We start from the raw sequence: 22,756 nt of genomic DNA, 5'->3' as shown, positions 1-22,756 counted from the left end.
GCACCTTCCTTCTGTCAATAGATGAAACAAATACTTCATCCTGCTCTGGAAACCACTGGTAAGTGATAACTCCTTTATTTCAAGGTGAACATTATTTATTTCAAGGTGAACAACACATTTATACCTTATCAATGATAAAGTGATATATTCGTATATTTTATCTACAATTTTCCAAAGTTTATTGATAACTTTTAATGAGAGTAATTATCTTAATATATTCATTTTAAGCTGAGAAGCTAATACATAGACAGCTTTATTATTCCAAAAGCACTTTTATCCAGTTTGAAATTTAAATAAATTTTTACCTTTCATTCTAAAGTAATATAACTAATTCCCATGTCTATGACTTGTGGAAACAATTGTACTAGAACTATTTTTAATAGAAAAATGAAAAACTATGAATATATGTGTGTGCATACTTTCACATCAGTAACTTTTACTAATATTAAAACATACAGCTATATGGGATGCCATAGCAAAAGTTTTAAATTGGTCAAAACAAAATTATAGCACTGATCTCAAGATTAAAAAGTATTTTATTAAAGACCATCAACATAAAATGCAATTTACCTCATGAAATGCACTCAGATCAAAAACAAAAAAAAAAGGCTTTTAGAAGTTTTTCAGTCAAAAGTCAGTCTACTCAGTCATGTTTATGTAGGTAATTTAAATATAATATCTATCGTGCATATTTCATCTAAGGAAGCAATTTCCACATACGGCTTTATCTTCCGTAGCATATTAGAAGTGATTCTGAAGAGTCAGATAGTAGGAGACCACAGAACTACCTAATGACAACATGAAAGGGGTTATTTACCACTAGACAGAAGATTTTAAAGTAAAATGCTTTTCTTCCCTGTGGCTAAATGCTATCCAGGAAACTCTGGGAGTATTTGCAATAGCCATAGAAGATCCGGTGTTGCCTCTTCTGCTAGTTAAAACCAAATCTAGAATGTCTGCCTGTATGACTAAGACCTCTGAAAGTGGATCAAAAGAAATTAAATTGATGACAAGTTTCAAGCCTGGGAGTTACCCTACATTGATAAGTTATGAGGTAAATTGGGGCTTCTGATTTGTAACAGGCAGGGATGAATTGGGAGGAAGAGTGTCAGAATTCTCAAGTAATGTAAATCTGATAATTGCTATGAATTTCAGTTACGTTATTTATTGAATTCAAGTAAAAGGGAGGGAATTCATCCTTGAAAAAAAAGTGCTTCTCAAGAAATGCAAGACAGCTATTCTTATTTGGATATCTTTACGAATTTCTTACTTGATGAAGTCTAGCAGTTTTGCAAACTTTGCATATTGGCATAGGCTGCTTTCTGTATCACAGATACATAATAAGATGAAAGAAAGTGATCAGAATAAAGATTAACTATTAAATTTTAAGTAAGAAAATATTGCATCAAATACTTTTCTGTGCTGTGACTAGTTTATAAATGTGTCTATACCTATAGTGCACACATTATACTCACATGTGTTAATGCTTTTGACATCTTTTCTAATCCACGTAATCCTTTAAAATATTTCTATAGTCTGTTCTTCCTCCTTTGCTTTTTAATGTTACGATGTTTGGTCTGTCTCTTAAGTTTTGTATTTTCCTCCACCAGTTGATTTATCTGTTCCTACAATAATATTAAATTTTTGTCAACAAATGTTTGAAGTCTATCTTAATAACTAATATGAAAAGATAACCCAATTAATTCTTTCTTTTTTTTCTTTTTCTTTTCTTCTTCCTTTTTTTTTTTTTTTTTTTTGAGATGGAGTCTTGCTCTGTCGCCCAGGCTGGAGTGCAGTGGCACACTCTCGGCTCGCTGCAACCTCCACCTCCTAGTTTCAAGCAATTCTCCTGCCTCAGCCTCCCCAGTAGCTGGGATTACAGACATGCACCACCATGCCCGGCTAACTTTTGTAGTTTTAGTAGAGACGAGGTTTCACCATGTTACGCAGGGTGGTCTCAAACTCCTGAGCTCAGGCAACCCACCCTCCTTGGCCTCCCAAAGTGCTAGGATTACAGGCATGAGCCACTGCGCCCAAGCAATTCTTCTTTTAAAAGTTTACTCAGTTATTCATAAGCCACTTAAAATTTGTATTGGAATTAAAGTAAACAATTATCAGGTTAGTTTAGGATTGATATCTTTATGCTAACATGTACCATTTAAAAGCATTACAAAACTCTCAATTTATTCAGAACTTCTGCTATGTTCTTTATTAAAGTTTTAAGATTTTTTCCAAAAAGGATTTTTAAATTTGTTTTGTTGTTTCCCAGATACTGTATAGTTTTTTTAACTGTTATAAGTGTTTCTTAAATCTTATATTCTAGTTGAGTGTTTCCAGTAATAGAAATGGTATTTTTGTAAGTTGATAGTGCATCTAGCAAAATTGTTAATTTTGGTGTGTTCTCCAGATAGATGATCTTATCATTTGAAAACAATAACAATTTTACGTCTTCTCTTACAAAAGTTACAAATATTTTATATATAATAATATATTTTATATTATTATATATAACATAAAATGTATACATTACATTACTTGTATATATTATATATATATATATGTATATACTTTCTTTTCTTATGGCTTTGATTAGGATCTCTCCAGTACTGTGTTAAATAAAAGTGTTAGTCATTCTTTTCTTGTTCCCAATATTAAATGAAATGCACCTAGAATTTCTCCAATAACCATTATATTGGGTATAGATTTGCAGTATATGCTTCCTACCAAAGTAATGATCTCTTCTATTTTTTCTTTAAAAAAAAAAAAAAAAAAAAAAACTACATACAGGGGTTGAATTTAATGACGTATTTTTTGTCATATTACTTTGCTTTAGTCTGTTAATGTGATGAATTTTACCAATGAATTTTCTAATTTTGAATTATTCTTGCAGTCCTCATATAATTTTACTTGGTCATGATATTTTTAATATATTTTTGAAATTGATGAGTTAATATTTTGTTAGGATTCTTGCAATTCATTTATGAAGTGGGCTTATGTATTATTTACTATTATTCTTACGTCTTTTATGAGTCAATCCCGGAATTATATCCACTCCTCAGATTACATTTCAGGAAAAAACAGCATTGGGAGGAAGTAGTCAAGCTAATTTGAACCATACAACACTAGGGAGTAAGAAGGCGTGAGTATAAGAGCACTGGAGAGTGCTATCACACATGACCTTATTATCATTGGTTCTTCACACAGGATGGTACTTTCGTTTTTTGTTTTTTTTTTTTTGGTGGTTTTTTTTTGTTTGTTTTTTTTGTTTGTTTGTTTTTTGTTTTTTGTTTTTTTTGAGACGGAGTCTCGCTCTGTCGCCCAGGGCAGTGGCGCGATCTCGGCTCACTGCAAGCTCTGCCTCCCGAGTTCACGCCATTCTCCTGCCTCAGCCTCCCGAGTAGCTGGGACTACAGGCTCTCGCCACCATGCCCGGCTAATTTTTTGTATTTTTAGTAGAGATGGGGTTTCACCGTGCTAGCCAGGATGGTCTCGATCTCTTGACCTCGTGATCTGCTCACCTCGGCCTCCCAAAGTCCTGGGATTACAGGCATTAGCCACCGCATCCAGCCCCACACAGGATGGGTCTTACAGTTCTTCGATGCTACTTTGCTGACACATAGCACTAGAGCAAGCGTTTTTCTGTTGTTGCAGAATTTTGCAAATAAAGAGGAATCGATTGTTTTGAGGCAAGAGTAGAAACTAACAGGCATTACTTTAGACCAACCACTGCTGTTGGATGCAGCACTCCCCTCTCCTTCACATTCACTATACACAACACACACACACACACACACACACACACACACACACACATCCATATACACATTCTAGAAGTCATGAGAGACTTTATTCTCCTCAGATTTTCTCACTATCTTTTCAGTATTTTCTTGGAATCCCTGTTTCCCTCTTGCTTCTATAATTTTTTCAGAGTTAATTTTGGGGTGGCAGCAAGAAGCTTGCTTATTTTGATATTGTGCCTGAAATAAAAGCCAAAGGCTTGCTTTATAAATAGACCATTTGATTAATTCTTCTCTTAGCACTAAGCAAATTTGTCCTACTTCCTAATTTGCAAATCCTTATTTCCACAAAATGGACTGTTAAAGCCAGATATGCCTATAGAAGTTTTTGTAGATATATGTTGTCAGTCAATATGCAGTGATATCAGGTCATTTGATAAAATGATTTCCTTTTCCAAGGGAGTGTTTCAAACATACCAGTGGTCCTAACATCAGTGTGAAGAAGGCACAGTATGTTACAGTTTAATTGTATTATATACATTTATGCTTCAGAAAGACACAATTTGCTCTGCTGTAGATCTGGAATTAGTAGCAAACCATCACTATTTGAAATCATAAATCTTTGAAATCCAGGGACTTGGTTTTTCTCTAATCACACTTGAGATAAATTATTAATTTCTTTGAAAAAGGAAAACCAGAACAGAACAGAAAACCATATAAAAGGTAGGACTCAGTGACTTACACATAGCAAAATAACTCTTTCAAGTGAAATGAATTAAGAGAAATCTACTGCTTATTTCCAAGGAATAGTAGAAAATAATGTATAACTAATACACTTAGAAATTGCTTCATGGAAGTGAATGACAGGAGAGGCTATTTTTTTTTCATTCTTTCTAGTACCTTCTATGTGACGCTACTACTAAATGGAATTGCAAACAAATCATTTTCCACTTGCACCTGCTATTTACAGTAGTCCCTTGGGAGGAGAGGTGGGGATGGAGTGAAATATTACAGCGACTCTCTGTCACCATTATTGGTCTTAAAGCTGATGTTACATCTTTATCATATTTATCTCATTCAAGTTGTTTACTCCCTGAGCCCTGAATTGTGCTAGATTCTTCCCCATCTCTCTCCATAAAGCATTGGAATGGATCACTGTAAAAGGAAATAAAATTTTACTCTCCTCTTTTGCACACATGAGAAAATTCAACCAGCTCCCCCTCTGGGTACTTGAATGATGAGCTCCCGTAATTATATACCAGGACTCTGAGGGCAAGAACCAAGTCTTGTTCACTTGATCATGTGCAGCAATATTATAACATGTTATCCTGAATAGAGTGTACAAAACTTGATAAATGTCTCCTAAAGGAAAGAAGAATACCTAATTGTCTTTGACTTACAAATGAAAATAAGAATCTGTTTTTCCTCTTTTGCTCTCAAATTCTGCAGGAGACGCACTAGAGGGCCCATCTCTAAATACAGCACACTAGGAGTTAGGGCATCAACATATTGATTTAGAAGTGGAAGCAGGGCCAGGTTAAGTTATTTCTGAGTGAGTTTCAAGGTCTATAACACTAGTAGTTTGAAATCTTCTGGAGCTCCAGATCTGCATTCTGGCAACATCATTTTTCGTGGATTCTTTTTTTTTTTCAGACTTCAAGTGTATTTATTAATGCATTGGACAAAATAAAACCACACTTGTTATCAAAAGTATATCTCCCCTGCTCCCATTTTCTTGTTCTTCCATTGGAAATATCTTTGAAAAAGTGATACAAATGGATACCAGCAAAGTCCCATATTTGCGGGGTGATTGTGGGGCGATGCTGGGACGAGATGGTTTGTGACATTGACTTTAATAGCATGAAAATGGGTTTTGCAAGTGTATATCAGGCTGCATCCCAATACTTAGATTCACAGTGGGCGGGGTGGTGGGGTGCAGAGGTGCTGGTTAGGAGAAGGAAAGCTGAATTTAGTGCTGGGAACCAGTCTGGGGTGGAAAGCTCTTCCTCTGGGAGTTCTGTGGGGATTTGGTGTTAGCTAAGTTCATAGTCTAAGGGAGACCCAGTCCCAGCCCCCAGAGCTGAGGTTCAGGAGGAACCAGTGAATAACTAAGAAGGAAGAGCTTTTGTAGGATGAGTCACTACTTCTATTAACGTTCAGTCCAAATCAGAAGGCTAAGGATCTACCATATACTATTTGTTCTGCTTTCTTGTTTTTAAACTTAACACTGAAGCATAAGCTTCTTCTCTGAGGTTACAAAACAACCATAAATGTATAGTGGTTTTTATGTCTAATATACTGCCATAAGAGGATGTATTCTCATTTACTTAGACATTATATCTCCCTATTGCTAGGCATGTAATTAATTTACAATGTTTTAACCCTTATAAATGATAACATGATGAAAATTTTATGCTTAAAACTTTTTAGTATAGTTTATAATTTCAGTAGAATTCTAAGAAGTTGAATTAGTGAGATAAAGAATGTGAACATATTAAGGATATTAATACAGATAGGGTGAGTAATCCCTTAAACATGAGAATCAAATTATTACCTTTTTGTTTTAAGATCCAGAGGAAAAAAATGTTGCCTTTTTAAATTTGAGGCATGGTATTAAAGAAAGTTTTGAGAGGAAAGGAGTTAGGATGCTGGCTGCATGGGTAAACTTGAAGAGAGTAGTTTAAAGGTATGCATAAAAAGCATATACGTAGAGGACTTTCTAGGGTTTGAAGAATGGCAAGTATATGAGCCAGATCCCTGACGGAAAAGAACTGGCACATGCTAACTTTTAATTTGAAGAAATGTTAATAAGGTTATATTTATAAAAGTGTAGACAGCACTTAAGGAAATCAGCAAGGGCTAATGCAGTAGTATCCCAGTAATAAACACAGTTGGAAGCTACTGAATTGTTATTGTGAAGAATCCACTCCTACAACCTAAAGACAGTAGTTACACAGAGAAGACTGCGGAGCTGCGGAAGAAGGAGGTAGAAAGTCCTTAGCATTTATAGGCATGCTTCAAGGGCTTCAGTCGGGAATTTTGGTTTGTTCTTTATAGTCCCAGTTGAATGCATACTTTGAAAGCTGAATCCACTGTCATTCTGCTGGCTCCATGTGACAAGTCTTCTCCTGTTACATTAATAATGAATTTGGGATAATGGAGGTCATTACGTTTCTCCCACCCCCATGTTACTCAACAGCATGTACCAATCATTTTAATGCAGATCCCTGTTCCACCGGTTTTGTTTTCCCAGCAATGACATTATTCCCAGTGCTGTTGTTCCTGGTTGCTGGGCTGCTTCCATCTTTTCCAGCAAATGAAGATAAGGTATGGTTGAAGTCAAAAATCTTCAGAAAAATTCAGGCAACCATGAGGGATGGCAAGCTACTAGATCAATCTTCAAAAGTGAAAAGGTCTAGAGTGTCTGGTACATCATAAAGTACTCATTAGTAGCTCAAGGTAGTTAACATAATTATGTTTAAAGCTGTGGTGATCAATATGGTAGCCCCTAGCCACATGAGGGTATTGAAGTTCATTAATTAAATGACTTTGCTCCACCCCGCAAATTGCCTTGGAGATTTTTTTTAATGTGGTAAAACTATCTTTTGAGTGATCCCATAATATTTGCTACGTAATACATAAAACTCTTTTACTAGAGTATTGCATGTTACACATGCACTTAGGCTGAGCCTAAGCATTTTTTCTAAATACCAGACACCATTTCAGGCAGAAATTCCCCCTAGAGTCTTAGGGTAAATCATATGCCTCAATCTTTACAACTTCTTTGCTGCAGCCTGAGTGTGAATGTCTTAATAATTACTATCATGTACCCTTGTCACTATAAGATGTTATCACTCATATATTTAGAAAAATCACATTAAGACCTCTCTTAACCCAGAAATTGGTATTTGTGGCCTCAGAGGAGATTTTAGTTTGTCATGCCATGAATTATATCCCCATTCTGAAAACTTTCATCTAATACTTTTCCATTAAAAAGTCATAGCTTTGGCAGTCATTGACAATGTTTACCTAGCATTGGCAACACTTTTTAAAAATGGTCTTTGTTCCCTTGAACTAACATAGTTACTATTATGTGCAATTTCCAACAATGTTAAAAGATAATTGTAATTTTATTTTCCCTTAGGATCCCGCTTTTACTGCTTTGTTAACCACCCAAACACAAGTGCAAAGGGAGATTGTGAATAAGCACAATGAACTGAGGAGAGCAGTATCTCCCCCTGCCAGAAACATGCTGAAGATGGTAAGAGGTGATATTGCAAAGGAGAGGGGTGTGAACAAGCTGTGGAAGGAGTAGGCGGCTGGCAACTAATATCTCTTAATAACTTTGAAGTTTACAAAGTTCTCTCTGTATTTTTTTGTTTCATTTGAGCTGTGTAATGGGCAGAGCTGAATTTCTTAACTTCTCTTTATAATGGTTGCATAACGTCAAATTCATAGGGCTATTTAAATTATGGAGGCAGAATTAAAACCTAATCTTTGGACATACGGTGAAAAGCCATTATGTTTTTCTGCTCCTTATCTTATCTGTCCTAATCTGAGATCAGAAAGACCTTTTCCTTTTAAGATAAATGCCATGTAGGGTAAATAACAATCTACTTTTCTGGGCCCTGTACCAAAGGCCACATGTCTCCCGAACATATTCAGTGAGGGGGAAAAAAAGAAAAAAAGAACTGGAAATGAAGTAAGCCAGCTAATTACTTCATTGTTGGAAAAGCAATCTCAGCACCTCCACATGTTTATCAATATTTAGAACAGGACCATTACAAAAAATCTTTAGGTGTTTCTGATGTCCTGTGATAAATAATTGGACCATAAACCTAGATTTTTTGATTACTTAGGGTAGGCATATTACCTATATTTCTTTGTGGAGCAGATAAAAGCACATAAAAAATATATACATTTGATTACTATAAAAATCAGAAGATGCTTGTACAGAAATTTTATGATGATGTAAATCAACCTATAACCTGATTATAAAGCTTATGCTCCTTTGAGGTTTGAGACATTAAGTGGATATCTTTTTTCTGTCCTTGTTTCAGGAATGGAACAAAGAGGCTGCAGCAAATGCCCAAAAGTGGGCAAACCAGTGCAATTACAGACACAGTAACCCAAAGGATCGAATGACAAGTATGTAAATTAGGAAATATTTGTTGAATAAATCAACAAGTAAAATAATAAACCATGTTATGATGTTGCATTAAGAAAAGTTTGTAAATAAATATTGCTTCTAATGCTACCTTTTTCAATATGGACTATCTACATGTAGAGATAACTCTGAGAAGCACCATCTGTGCTTACTGTTTTAAATAAATTTTACAAAAACCGTCTCACACAGTATCATATTTTTACCTCTCAATCAGCTCAGGAGTAAAGCAGGTTACAGATCATCTCTTTCCCAATTACAGAGATTAGAAAATCAACAGCCTGGAAGAAAATGATGATTGGCAATTAATGTCATATATAGGAAATTTGGAATTAGAATTTCTGGCTTCTAAATCAGTACCCTTTTTAGTGACAATATGCAGCCTATTTGTGTTTTGAAACCTACTTAATTTTTTTTCTATAAAATATTTTAAATTTTGTCAAACTGTTCCTGAATTTTATGAAAAACGTATTTAACATTAGCATTAACTTTTATTATTTTCTTTTGAATTTTTGATGACAGTAAGCCATGTCTTTTATATTTTCTGGATGTTTACAATGCATACTATATTAAACTAAAAAAATGACCTGCAAGACATAACCTATACATCAATAAATATAAAAACAATTAGATAAAATATCATATGGATGAGCTATCAGATAAAATACTTATTAAATTATCAAAAATAACATAGGTAAAGGCAAACCAAATTTACAAGTGGTAAATAACTGGCTTGTTTTGAAAATAGGACAGCCACTGTTATCTATATTTTTGATATAAAACTATAATAAATTTATGAAAGGGGGTAACTATGGTCACGAGAAGATTGAAAGAAATGGTCTTGAAAATCCCAATCTATTGTTAAAATCTTAGCTTCTTTCTTTCCCTCTCAAAGGAGCTATACAAAGGTAGTTTATACTCTCTTTAAGTAGCATGTAGACATTCCTTGTTAAGCCATCCAAATATAAATATTAATTTTAGGGCTTGAAAAAGTGTTGAAGTATTTCTGGGCTGCAAGGCACTTTTTTCCTTATTTTTTGACCAGAGTGTGGCCTGTGATGTTCTGATTTGCTAAGAGGAGGCCTGTAACCTGTGAAAATATTGTCTTTTATGGTGTCATTTGCTTCATGTTTAGGGCTCTTAAAGACTGAGCATAAGACTTTTTAAAAAATTCACACAAAATAATAATTCTAACCACTTATTCAGATTCCTATATATGAAAATCTCTGGTGAGTATGGGCTAGAGCAGGAGAGGAATTACTAAGTTGATCTCTGTCTTCAGCAAGCTCACATTACAAAGCTGAAAGCTCATAAGGCACACACATGTGAAGAATTCAATGTGTAAATAAATGAATCCAGGGAGAGCAGACATTAAAGAAAAAAGGCTTCTCCATCTACTCAAAGTTTTGCATGTTGAGACCAGCCTCAAGTATTGGGCAAATCTGGCTTCTATTCAGCTTATAGCTGATAAGGATCTGAGGCACCCTCCTTATGTATTAGTCAATATTCATTAACGGTGGGTACTGGGGACTGTATTTAAAAAACAGGGATTCTGCTGTGTGTAGTGTGTGTGTGTTTGTGTGTATTTTGCCATTGCATGCTTTATTGCTTTCCTCATGAGTGGTCTGTTCCTTCTTAGGTCTAAAATGTGGTGAGAATCTCTACATGTCAAGTGCCTCCAGCTCATGGTCACAAGCAATCCAAAGCTGGTTTGATGAGTACAATGATTTTGACTTTGGTGTAGGGCCAAAGACTCCCAACGCAGTGGTTGGACATTATACACAGGTAAGGAGAAGAAATGAAAAACCATCTCCTTTATAAGTGCCCTAAAAAAAAAGGATTCTTCAAATTTTGACTGATTCCAAGTTGAATTTGGGGAAAATTTCAAGTGAATATAGAATAGTCTGGCATTTGGTGAGTATTTCAGCTGTGAACTGTCATTTTTCAGTAGACTGCAGGATCATGGTAGGGAAGCATAATCTTTGTCCAACGGTCTCAAAAAGGAATGTACATGGAAATGTAATATTTTAAAGTGTTTTAGTTTGATTCAATAATTTAACTAAATATAGCCATAAGGTATATGAAAACAAAATATGTCGGTAACATTCTTCTCCATTTTGTATTTCCTACTATTTGTTTTTTGGTATTTCCTTCTTCTCTAATGTGCTCTCATATCTTCACTTATTGGTTTATAGGTTGTTTGGTACTCTTCATACCTCGTTGGATGTGGAAATGCCTACTGTCCCAATCAAAAAGTTCTAAAATACTACTATGTTTGCCAATATTGTCCTGCGTAAGTATATATTTTAGCGTTTATTGTCAATAATGCTAAATACAATTTAACATTTAATAAAAAAAAACTAAAAAGCATATTTAAGTAAAGGTGAAGGAGATTAATCTTTAGAAATGTTTTCTAAAGTTGAGACACATTCAACCAACTTCTCAGAAAGATAAAGTTTTCAGTTCCAGTTCCAAGTATTATTGAACAGGGAGCTGTCTTTCCTCATGCCTAAAATAATTTGTCTCCTCTCTCAATTGCCTTTTGCTATGCTCACGGTTACTTCATAAGTACATGTAGTGTGTAGTTATCTAAATATAATTTTATCAGTTCATGCTAAGTTTACACACGAGAAACTGGAAGCTTGATAATTAGTCCAGGGATAAAGTAAGGTAACAAACAAATAAGGAATGACCCATTTTAGCAATATCAGTCCTTTCTGCTCAAATGCTCTTACTCCTGCTTATCAGAAAATTTCACATTATACATTAAGAAATGATTAAATCTTGGACCTCAAAGACTTTTAAGAGATCCCCAATATATTTCAAATAGCCAAGAAAAGATAATGTCTTAAATTTTTGCTTCTTAGAATTTACCACAAAAAAAATTTCATGGAACCTTCCATTAAGATCCTAATTTCTTAATTATCTCGGGTTTTCTGCAGAAAGTCCACTTTTTTTTCTCAAGCAATATAGTTGACCTACTCACGAAAAAAAATCTGTGGATATATTGAAGATATATTCACAACATATCTATTAGCTTTAATTTCCTTTTAATATTTGAAGTTGTTCACCACTAGTGGGAGGGGTTTTCCCCAAACTCAGCTTTCTGCATGGCTTATTTTGAGGCTGTAGATATCCCAGGTGATGTAGGATTCCAGTCTGAGAAATATGACCTGTAAGGTCATTTTTCAGCAAAGAATTATCATTGTTAATACAGAAAATTGAAAGACCCTGGGAGACTGCCTCCAAATGCCTGGTCATTAGAGGAGAGCATCTGGAGTCAGCATCTGAAGTGAGAGTTGGAATTAGTAATGAGAGAAAACAGGGAAAAGAGAACTTCCAGAACACTTTGATATCTATTTCACATTTTCTTAAGTGCTCACACACCAACAGCTATATTCTGTGAAGAAAGGCTGAGATTCAGCTACATAGCCTTGGACCGTTAGCCTACTTAGTGCAATTAAGACTTTGACTTTCTTGTATTTTCAGATGATAATTACCGATAGGAAAATAATCATCAATGATGTACAGGCTAGTCACTGTAAGATGAACACACAGAGGAGATTAGTATTAATTAAATCTTTTTTTCCCTAACATTCCCATTCTTGGCAAACATAAACATCTCATACACACCACCTGTAGACATTCCCAAACCTTTCCAAGCCCAATACCCTTTCACAAACATACAGCAAAAACCATGTGAAAATCACCACTCCACCTAGAAGCCAAAATTTACGCTGAAACTGTACTTACCCTACCTCATATTGTAGAAATTATGGTTTTTTTTTATTTTTAATTATAAGTTACATTTAACATTAAATGTTATTTTTCATATTGCAACCTTCTGTGCTTCAGGAACTTTTCTTATCTCTCTAGGGGATATGTTTTACCCCTTGCCAGCACCTTGTGGTACATCATCTTAGCAATTTGACGAAGTCTGTTGGGAGATGAAGTGTGTTGCCACATTGAAATATACTTTAAAAACTTTAGACTTTAATTATCCTATTTCAGTTTCTCAGGTTGCAAGATTATGGTCAGGAAAGTGAATGAATGTGTGAATTATTCTCTTAATTTGCATTATTGTCTGAATATACTCTGAGATTATATTTTTAATTATTTGACATAATTAAAAACATTTAATAAATACTCATGTATATTTGGTGACTGATACTAACCTTGGAACATAAACGAAACATAAAAATGAAAAATATTTGACATTTTTATTTCAAATTTCAGTGGTAATTGGGCTAATAGACTATATGTCCCTTATGAACAAGGAGCACCTTGTGCCAGTTGCCCAGATAACTGTGACGATGGACTATGCAGTAAGTTTGAAGTGATTAACTTGATAATAAAATAAAATGATCTGACATTTCTTCTAAGAATTGGGAAATCTGAAGACAACCAACTTAAGCAATGCCTTCATGCAAAGGACAAAAAGGAAAAAAAAGTCTGTCTGGCTCTGTCGCCCAGGCTGGAGTGCAGTGGTGCCATCTCGGCTCACTGCAACCTCCGCTTGCAGGGATCAAGTGATTCTTGTGCCTCAGCCTCCTGAGTAGCTGGGACTACAGGCACGTGCCACCACACCTGATTAATTTTTGTACTTTTTGTAGAGACAGGATTTTGCCATGTTGGCCACACTGGTCTCGAACTTCTGGCCATCAAGCGATCTGCCCACCTCAGCCACCCGAAGTGCTGGGATTACAGGTGTGAGCCATCACACCCAGCCTTACAGAGCATTTTTAAGTGAAAATTTTACACTGTTCAGTATCTATGTATCATTTGCAATGTAAAATTTGGCCTGTTATCATATGTAACCTGTTGAAACACTTACCATCCATGTTACATATTGGCATATATGAAAATGTGTCTGTGGAAATAACATTGTAATTAAATAGGAAGTTTATTCTCATCAAAGTTTATATCATTATACAAAATACAGCATTATTTTAAAAAAGGAAAACAAATATACATCTAAGAGTATGAGACCATAGAATATGGCTCAATCCAGACAGGGACTCCAAATACTGCAATTCCTCATATGCTAATGAACTTATCATACTAACTTCCTCATTTTTGCCATAGTGTAGTTACAATCATCAAGTTTAGTATAATAATCACTTGCACTTCTGCTTGCTAATAATTTTGTATACATTTTTAAAGTCAAAATCAAATCTGTATGTAGTATTAGTTTGCAGAAGCCTCAAAAATATTTTAGCAAAAAGGAGTAAATAAATTTATATCTCATACAATTTCATTTTGTGCTTTTATAAATAAAAGTACAAAGAGATGATATTTTTGTTTAACTAGGATATGTTACTAAAATTATTACTGACAATGCAGTTGACCCATTCATTGAGATTTTTACCTTTCAAATGCATTCACCTGACTGAATTGTAACATTTTTTTTCTGACTGAATTGTGTAGCTATAATTCAGAATACTGATAATACCAAAGCTATAAATCAACTAAAGAAGGAAAATCCAAATATTTCCAGCACTGCCAAATGCTGTTTTCTAAGAAGCTTGAAATTTATCTTATTAGTAATAATCAGCCAACTGAAAGATTTTAAACAGAAGAATGATAAGATCTGAACTGTGTTTTCTAAAGAGCTCCCGACAGTAGTAGGAAGAAGCAATTGGATGAAAGTCAGCTAGGAGACTGTTGGAAAAACACACACTCAAAAACAAATGGGTATCTTCACTGCATTAGGGCAAAATGAATGAAAAAATAGACAGGTATGAAAAATAGGAAGAAAATAGAACAGTCGGTTGTTACCTGGTATTGTTGAGTATTGATTACAAAAAAAAACCAAAAAATAGAAACAAGTTCCAGTTGATTCCTGGATCCTGGCTTGAATTGTTTAATAGTTGGGAGTGTCATTTCTCTGAAACTGGGTGAACGAAGTGAACAGTTGTTGGGAAATAATAAGGAAATGTCAAGCTTGTAGATAGGATGATGAATTTAGTTTGAGATTTATTGAGTTTGTGGCCACTGAAGGACATCCAAGTAGAAATGTCCAATAATCATAATGACATTCTCTCCACCTTTTACATTATACATTTACATCTTCCTATAATAATTACCTAGACCTGAGAGAAAGACTGGGGGCATTAGAGTCTAGAACAACTGTGTCCAATATAACTTTCTACAGTGATGAAGATGTTCAATATTCCTATAAAGTAGCCCTTAGACACATGGCTACTGAACACTTGATATAACTGGTGTTGTTGAGGAAAGACCTGAAATTTTAATTTTATTTGATTTTATTTTTATTTAATTTTAATTAATTTAAGTTTAAACAACCGCATGACAAATATCTACCATTTTGGATGTTGCAGTTCTAGAGAAATTCATTTAAATTAATTTTACTCTGCTCACTTGTTGAGTGAGGAAAATATGTCAGTTCATCTTAGAAACATTTCCAAAAGCTCGAATTTAAAAAAGAATCAGCGTGTTTACCTAAGTGACCTTATGTGTCCCTCAAGATATAAAATGGCCATCTTAGTGTAATAATCTCAACTTGTTTGCTCACTTCCCTACTCTCCGTTCATATAGAATGTTTTGTTTGTGTTGCTGTTATGAAAGAAAATGATAATGAAGTGACTAATTTCTTTGTTTTTATTCCAGCCAATGGTTGCAAGTACGAAGATCTCTATAGTAACTGTAAAAGTTTGAAGCTCACATTAACCTGTAAACATCAGTTGGTCAGGGACAGTTGCAAGGCCTCCTGCAATTGTTCAAACAGCATTTATTAAATACGCATTACACACCGAGTAGGGCTATGTAGAGAGGAGTCAGATTATCTACTTAGATTTGGCATCTACTTAGATTTAACATATACTAGCTGAGAAATTGTAGGCATGTTTGATACACATTTGATTTCAAATGTTTTTCTTCTGGATCTGCTTTTTATTTTACAAAAATATTTTTCATACAAATGGTTAAAAAGAAACAAAATCTATAACAACAACTTTGGATTTTTATATATAAACTTTGTGATTTAAATTTACTGAATTTAATTAGGGTGAAAATTTTGAAAGTTGTATTCTCATATGACTAAGTTCACTAAAACCCTGGATTGAAAGTGAAAATTATGTTCCTAGAACAAAATGTACAAAAAGAACAATATAATTTTCACATGAACCCTTGGCTGTAGTTGCCTTTCCTAGCTCCACTCTAAGGCTAAGCATCTTCAAAGACGTTTTCCCATATGCTGTCTTAATTCTTTTCACTCATTCACCCTTCTTCCCAATCATCTGGCTGGCATCCTCACAATTGAGTTGAAGCTGTTCCTCCTAAAACAATCCTGACTTTTATTTTGCCAAAATCAATACAATCCTTTGAATTTTTTATCTGCATAAATTTTACAGTAGAATATGATCAAACCTTCATTTTTAAACCTCTCTTCTCTTTGACAAAACTTCCTTAAAAAAGAATACAAGATAATATAGGTAAATACCCTCCACTCAAGGAGGTAGAACTCAGTCCTCTCCCTTGTGAGTCTTCACTAAAATCAGTGACTCACTTCCAAAGAGTGGAGTATGGAAAGGGAAACATAGTAACTTTACAGGGGAGAAAAATGACAAATGACGTCTTCACCAAGTGATCAAAATTAACGTCACCAGTGATAAGTCATTCAGATTTGTTCTAGATAATCTTTCTAAAAATTCATAATCCCAATCTAATTATGAGCTAAAACATCCAGCAAACTCAAGTTGAAGGACATTCTACAAAATATCCCTGGGGTATTTTAGAGTATTCCTCAAAACTGTAAAAATCATGGAAAATAAGGGAATCCTGAGAAACAATCACAGACCACATGAGACTAAGGAGACATGTGAGCCAAATGCAATGTGCTTCTTGGATCAGATCCTGGAACAGAAAAAGATCAGTAATGAAAAAACTGATGAAGTCTGAATAGAATCTGGAGTATTTTTAACAGTAGTGTTGATTTCTTAATCTTGATAAATATAGCAGGGTAATGTAAGATGATAACGTTAGAGAAACTGAAACTGGGTGAGGGCTATCTAGGAATTCTCTGTACTATCTTACCAAATTTTCGGTAAGTCTAAGAAAGCAATGCAAAATAAAAAGTGTCTTGAAAAAAAATACAAGAATTTTATTTCTTGACTCCATGATGCATCAAAGCTTTTCTTCAGATTATCTAGTTATTCTTTCCTAGACTTTTAACCTTCAGCTCCTTTATCCCAGTGCTATATGTTTGATTTTGTCCTTTCAGATAATATCAATGATCGGGTTGTCATATCAGATCGATATGCTTATCCAGTATCAAACTGCAGTAAAAATTTCAAGGATCTAAGTAATCATGAGGCAAAGGAAAACAGGAAGGTGCAAGACCACCAATGCAGCCCCTAGATGCTATTTTTGGCTGCATCTCTTAATCTCTCAAGCAATAAATTTCCTAATTAGTCTCCATTCAAAACCTTTCAATAGGTTTCAGAAGTAATTAGTATAATATTCACGATCTTAAACTGATCTGCAAGAAGCTGAATAATGTTTTTTATATTTCCCTCTCCAATCTCACTTCATTCCACCCTCCCTCATTTCCTCTGTTTCAGTAGGATGAGCCCGTTAAATTATCTCAAATTCCTCAAGATTATTTTTACCTTATGGTGTTTGTGTTTGCTATTGCTCTGTTTGGAAGAGTGATCACTGTATTATTTGCTAGAATTGCTACTTCACATTAAACATTATTTCATCAACAGATTCTTTTGAGCACATAATCTAGGGAAGCTCCCCCCATTTTCTCTCAGAGCTCCCTATATTTCTTCTTATAGTAATCATCACAGTGTGTAATAATTCATTCCTGTGCTCAACAAATATTTATTGAAGACACTTATGTGTTGAGTATTCAATTAGGCACTTTGAAATAGAACAATTAGCAAGACAGACCAAATTCCAAATTTCATGAAGTTCACACTCTAGCAGAGGAAAGAGAAAGAAAACTCTCTTGCAAATAAATACTTAATACAATGTCAGGAAATGACAAATGCTATGAACTAAACTTGGGAAGAGGATAGAGCATAATGAGGATAGGCTGAGAGGGAGAAATGTTAATTTAAATAAGATTATCAGGTAAATCATCTCTAAAGTGCTAAATACTATTTGGAGCTTTGAATTTATCCTTTTAGTAATGAACAACCAATTGTAAGATTTTAAACAGAAGAGTGACAAAATCTGAATTGTTTTTTATGGAACAAGAGCACAATACAAGTGAGAGAACCACCAATAGATAATTTGATAGAGAAGACTTTCAGGCAAGAATAGTGAGTAAAATGTTACTGAGGTAGGAATAAACTTGGCATATTTTATTAAAGGCAAGAAGTCCATAATAGCTGGAGTAGAGGGAGCATGGTAAAGAAAATATTAAAAAGAGGTAAGGAACTTAGGCAGGAATCTCATTATATGGTGCCCTCTAGGGTAGGTAAAGAATTGGGATATTATTATAATTAAGGCAGCAAATCATCAGAGTATATTAAAGAGTGATATTATTAGATCTAATATTGTGAGAGGACAAGAATGGAAGCAAGACATCAGTTAAGATGCTATTACCAGCCGGGCACAGTGGCTCACGCCTGCAATCCCTGCACTTTGAGAAGCCCAGGCGGGCGGATCACGAGGTCGGGAGATCAAGACCATCCTGGCTAACATGGCGAAACCCCGTCTCTACTAAAAATACAAAAAAATTAGCCAGGCGTGGTGGCGGGCAACTGTAGTCCCAACTACTCGGGAGGCTGAGGCAGGAGAATGGCGTGAACCCGGGAGGCGGAGATTGCAGTGAGCTTAGATAGCGCCACTGCACTCCAGCCTGGGCGACAGAGCAAGACTCTGTCTCAAAAAAAAAAAAAAAAAAAAAAAAAAAAAGAGGCTATTCCCTAGAAAAGAAATTAAGTTAAATTGTACTAAATTATAAATATATATGTGTATGTGTATATATATATATATTATGTATCATACTAATAAAATAAAGATATAATATGATCATCTCAAAAAATGCAAATCAATGCACTTAACAAGATTTAATAGGATTTAATGAAAACAATTTTCAGAAAACTATGAATAGAAAGTAACTTTCTTATTCTAATACAGAGCATCTGCAAAATCAATCCCTGAGCTAACCTTATACTTAATAGTGAATGAGTGAATGTTTTTTCCTTTTTTTCTTTTTTTTTTAATTATACTTTAAGTTTTAGGGTACATGTGCCCAATGTGCAGGTTTGTTACATATGTATACATGTGCCGTGTTGGTGTGCTGCACCCATTAACTCATCATTTAGCATTAGGTATATCTCCTAATGCTATCCCTCCCCACTCCCCCCGACCCATGACAGGCCCTGGTGTGTGATGTTCCCCTTCCTGTGTCCATGTGATCTCATTGTTCAATTCCCACCTATGAGTGCGAACATGTGGTGTTTGGTTTTTTGTCCTTGTGATAGTTTGCTGAGAATGATGGTTTCCAGCTTCATCCATGTCCCTACAAAGGACATGAACTCATCATTTTTTATGGCTGCATAGTATTCCATGGTGTATATATGCCACATTTTCTTAATCCAGTCTATCATTGTTGGGCATTTGGATTGGTTCCAAGTCTTTGCTATTGTGAATAGTGCCGCAATAAACATATGTGTGCATGTGTCTTTATAGCAGCATGATTTATAATCCTTTGGGTATATACCCAATAATGGGATGGCTGGGTCAAATGGTAATTCTAGTTCTAGAACCCTGAGGAATTGCCACACTGACTTCCACAATGGTTGAACTAGTTTACAGTCCCACCAACAGTGTAAAAGTGTTCCTATTTCTCCACATCCTCTCCAGCACCTGTTGTTTCCTGACTTTTTAATGATTGCCATTCTAACTGGTGTGAGATGGTATCTCATTGTGGTTTTGATTTGCATTTCTCTGATGGCCAGTGATGATGAACATTTTTTCATGTGTCTTTTGGCTGCATAAATGTCTTCTTTTGAGAAGTGTCTGTTCATATCCTTTGCCCACTTTTTGATGGGGTTGTTTGTTTTTTTCTTGTAAATTTGAGTTCATTGTAGATTCTGGATATTAGCCCTTTGTCAGATGAGTAGATTCCAAAAATTTTCTCCCATTCTGTAGGTTGTCTGTTGACTCTGATGGTAGTTTCTTTCACTGTGCAGAAGCTCTTTAGTTTAATGAGATCCCATTTGTCAATTTTGGCTTTTGTTGCCATTGCTTTTGGTGTTTTAGACATGAAGCCCTTGCCCATGCCTATGTCCTGAATGGTATTGCCTAGGTTTTCTTCTAGGGTTTTTATGGTTTTAGGTCTATCGTTTAAGTCTTTAATGTTTTTTTCTTTTTATTACTTATCATTGAAACGATGATTGCATCATTTTTTATCTGGAATCCATAATCAGGAATAAGGCAAATATGTTAGTTTGTACCACTTTTGTTCTGTAAACCAAAAAGTATCTGAAACAAGTGTCAATCAATTTAGAAAGTTTATTTTACCAAGGTTAAGGATGCGCCTGTGACAGAGCCTCAGGAGGTCCTGACGACATATGCCCAAAGTGGTAGGGCTACAGCTTGCTTTTATACATTGTAGGGAGATATAATACATCAATCAATACATGTAAGATTTACATTGGTTCAATCTGGAAGGGCAGGGCAACTCGAAGCAGGAGGGCTTCCAGGTCATATGCAGATTTTAACATATTTTGAATGGCAATTAGTTGAAAGACTTATTATCAGTAGAAAGCAATGTCTGGGTTACATTAGGGTGTCGTGGGGACCTAGGTTTATCATACAGATGAAGCCTCCAAGTAGCAGGCTTTGGAGAGAATAGACTGTAAATGTTTCTTACCAGGCTTAAGGCCTGTGTTGATGTTAATGCTAGAGAGGTATAATGAGGCATGTCCGACCCCCACTTCCCACCATGGCCTGATACAGTCATTCAGGTAAAACTTCAGGGTGCCCTAGCCAAGGAGAGAGTCCGTTCAGATGATTATGGAGAACCTTTGAATTTTACTACTGGTTTACAGTTCACTATTTAAATTGTAGCCAATGCAATAAGTAAAGGAAAAAAATTAAAGGTATAGAGATTAAAAAGGCAGAAACTGCCTTAATTTGAAAATTAAAATGATCTTGTAGAAAATCTGAAGGAATCAACAAAAAAGCTACTAGAACTAGTAAGTTTAGCAAGGTCACATGATTAAAAGGAGGGAGGGTATCTTACTGATAGAGGAACAGAATAAGAATTACAGTGGAATTCTCATTAGAAACCATGCAAGCCATGCAAGCAAAAGAAAAAACCAAGATAATGATAAAGAGGATCACAGTTTTTACTGCTGTATGCCAGGGGAGGTGGCAACAAATATAGATCGGAACTGATTTAGAGATTTGTGACACAGAACATGGCAGGACTCTGTGTCTTTAACTCTCTTATTCTATATCAAGAGCCAAACTTCACTCATCACTTTTGTTGATAAGATCTACAAAGATTGTATTGTACAGCTGAAACTAAACATGAGAAAATAATGATTTCAAAGAAGCCTTGTGCTACATACGTGGGCATTATCTCAATAAGAGCCTTCTGATCCAAATAGCTTTCAATGCACAGAAAACAATATTCATCAAAATAAGAGTATGTATCTTTCCACATGCATAAAATATATCTGGTATTGTTCTAGCAGTGAATCCATACAGGTCTGCAGCAACCTCAATTCTTGCCTCCTCAGAAGAAATAATTAGACCAATGGAGCATAAGGCAGAAAGAGAGAACAAGGCAAGTTTTAGAGCAGGAATGAAAGTTTATTCAAAATCTTTAAAGCAGGAATGAAAGTAAGTAAAGTACACTTGGAAGAAGGCCAAGCAGGCAACTTGAGAGATCAAGTGCATGGTTTTGTCAGAGGTGTGTGAACCAGAGAAACTCCATCTTAAATAAGGGCTATGTCAAATGAGGCTGAGACCTACTGGGCTGCATTCCCAGATGGTTAAGGCATTCTAAGTCACAGGATGAGATAGGAGGTTGGCACAAGATACAGGTCATAAAGATCTTGCTCATAAAACAGGTTGCAGTAAAGAAGTCAGCTAAAAGCCACCAAAACCAAGATGGTGACAAGAGTGACCTCTGGTTGTCCTCATTGCTACACTCCCACCAGCGCCATGACAGTTTACAAATGCCATGGCAACATCAGGAAGTTACCCTATATGGTCTAAAAAGAGGAGGCATGAATAATCGACCCTTTGGTTAGCATATAATCAAGAAATGACCATAAAACAGGCAACCAGCCGTCCTCATGGCTGCTCTGCCTATGGAGTAGCCGTTCTTTATTCCTTTACTTTCCTAATAAACTTGCTTTCACTTACTCTATAGACTCACCCTGAATTCTTTCTTCTCTGAGATCCAAGAACCCTCTCTTGTGGTCTGGATCAGGACCCCTTTCCTGTAACATCTTTCCAGTGACCATGAAGAGATAATACTGAGGAGACTCCCAACCCAAAGGAAATAGACTGCAGCATTGATTGGCTGACTTTAGGTAAGTGGGGCACATATACCTGGGTAAAGAATGGGATTGCGTTAGAGGCCCACTTAGGGGAGTTAGAGTCTCTCCTAAGACAGAGTAGGTTAAAAGGCTCCTCTTAATAAAAGTAAGGATGCTTGACTGAACTTGGGTTCAAGGCCCAACTTAGGAAGGTTAGAGTCCTTCCTAAGATGTAAGGGGTTAGAGGCCACTGTCAGTAAAGTCCCTTTTGGCTAAAAACAGGTTTGCCACTAGGAATGTTTACCACTATTCTCTTTGTATTAATCTGCCTTGCACTTTTTGGTGACAGCTGCGGGTGACAGAATTAGGCATGTAAAGGA

The 22,756-nt window shown here is 35.4% G+C and overlaps 1 protein-coding gene across 3 annotated transcripts; it reads left to right on the top strand.

The window, feature by feature from the left end:
- CRISP3 (cysteine rich secretory protein 3) lies at nt 1-17,013 on the top strand. 3 transcript variants are annotated; one of them, NM_006061.4, is made up of 8 exons: nt 1-58; nt 6,991-7,064; nt 7,882-7,998; nt 8,798-8,885; nt 10,541-10,686; nt 11,097-11,194; nt 13,138-13,226; nt 15,532-17,013. In NM_006061.4, the coding sequence occupies exons 1-8, from the start codon at nt 22-24 to the stop codon at nt 15,657-15,659; spliced, it is 777 nt and encodes a 258-aa protein (NP_006052.2). In that variant the 5' UTR covers nt 1-21; the 3' UTR covers nt 15,660-17,013. The 3 variants fall into 3 exon arrangements, with proteins under 3 accessions (NP_006052.2, NP_001177915.1, NP_001355052.1); NM_001190986.3 differs by having other exon boundaries at nt 6,961-7,064; NM_001368123.1 differs by having other exon boundaries at nt 6,937-7,064.
- Nucleotides 17,014-22,756: the final 5,743 nt, after the last annotated feature.

The sequence above is a fragment of the Homo sapiens genome, chromosome 6 (genome assembly GCF_000001405.40).
Source record: "Homo sapiens chromosome 6, GRCh38.p14 Primary Assembly".
In the NCBI taxonomy this organism is placed as follows: Eukaryota; Metazoa; Chordata; class Mammalia; order Primates; family Hominidae; genus Homo; species Homo sapiens.
This window is presented reverse-complemented; position numbering and strand designations above follow the sequence as displayed.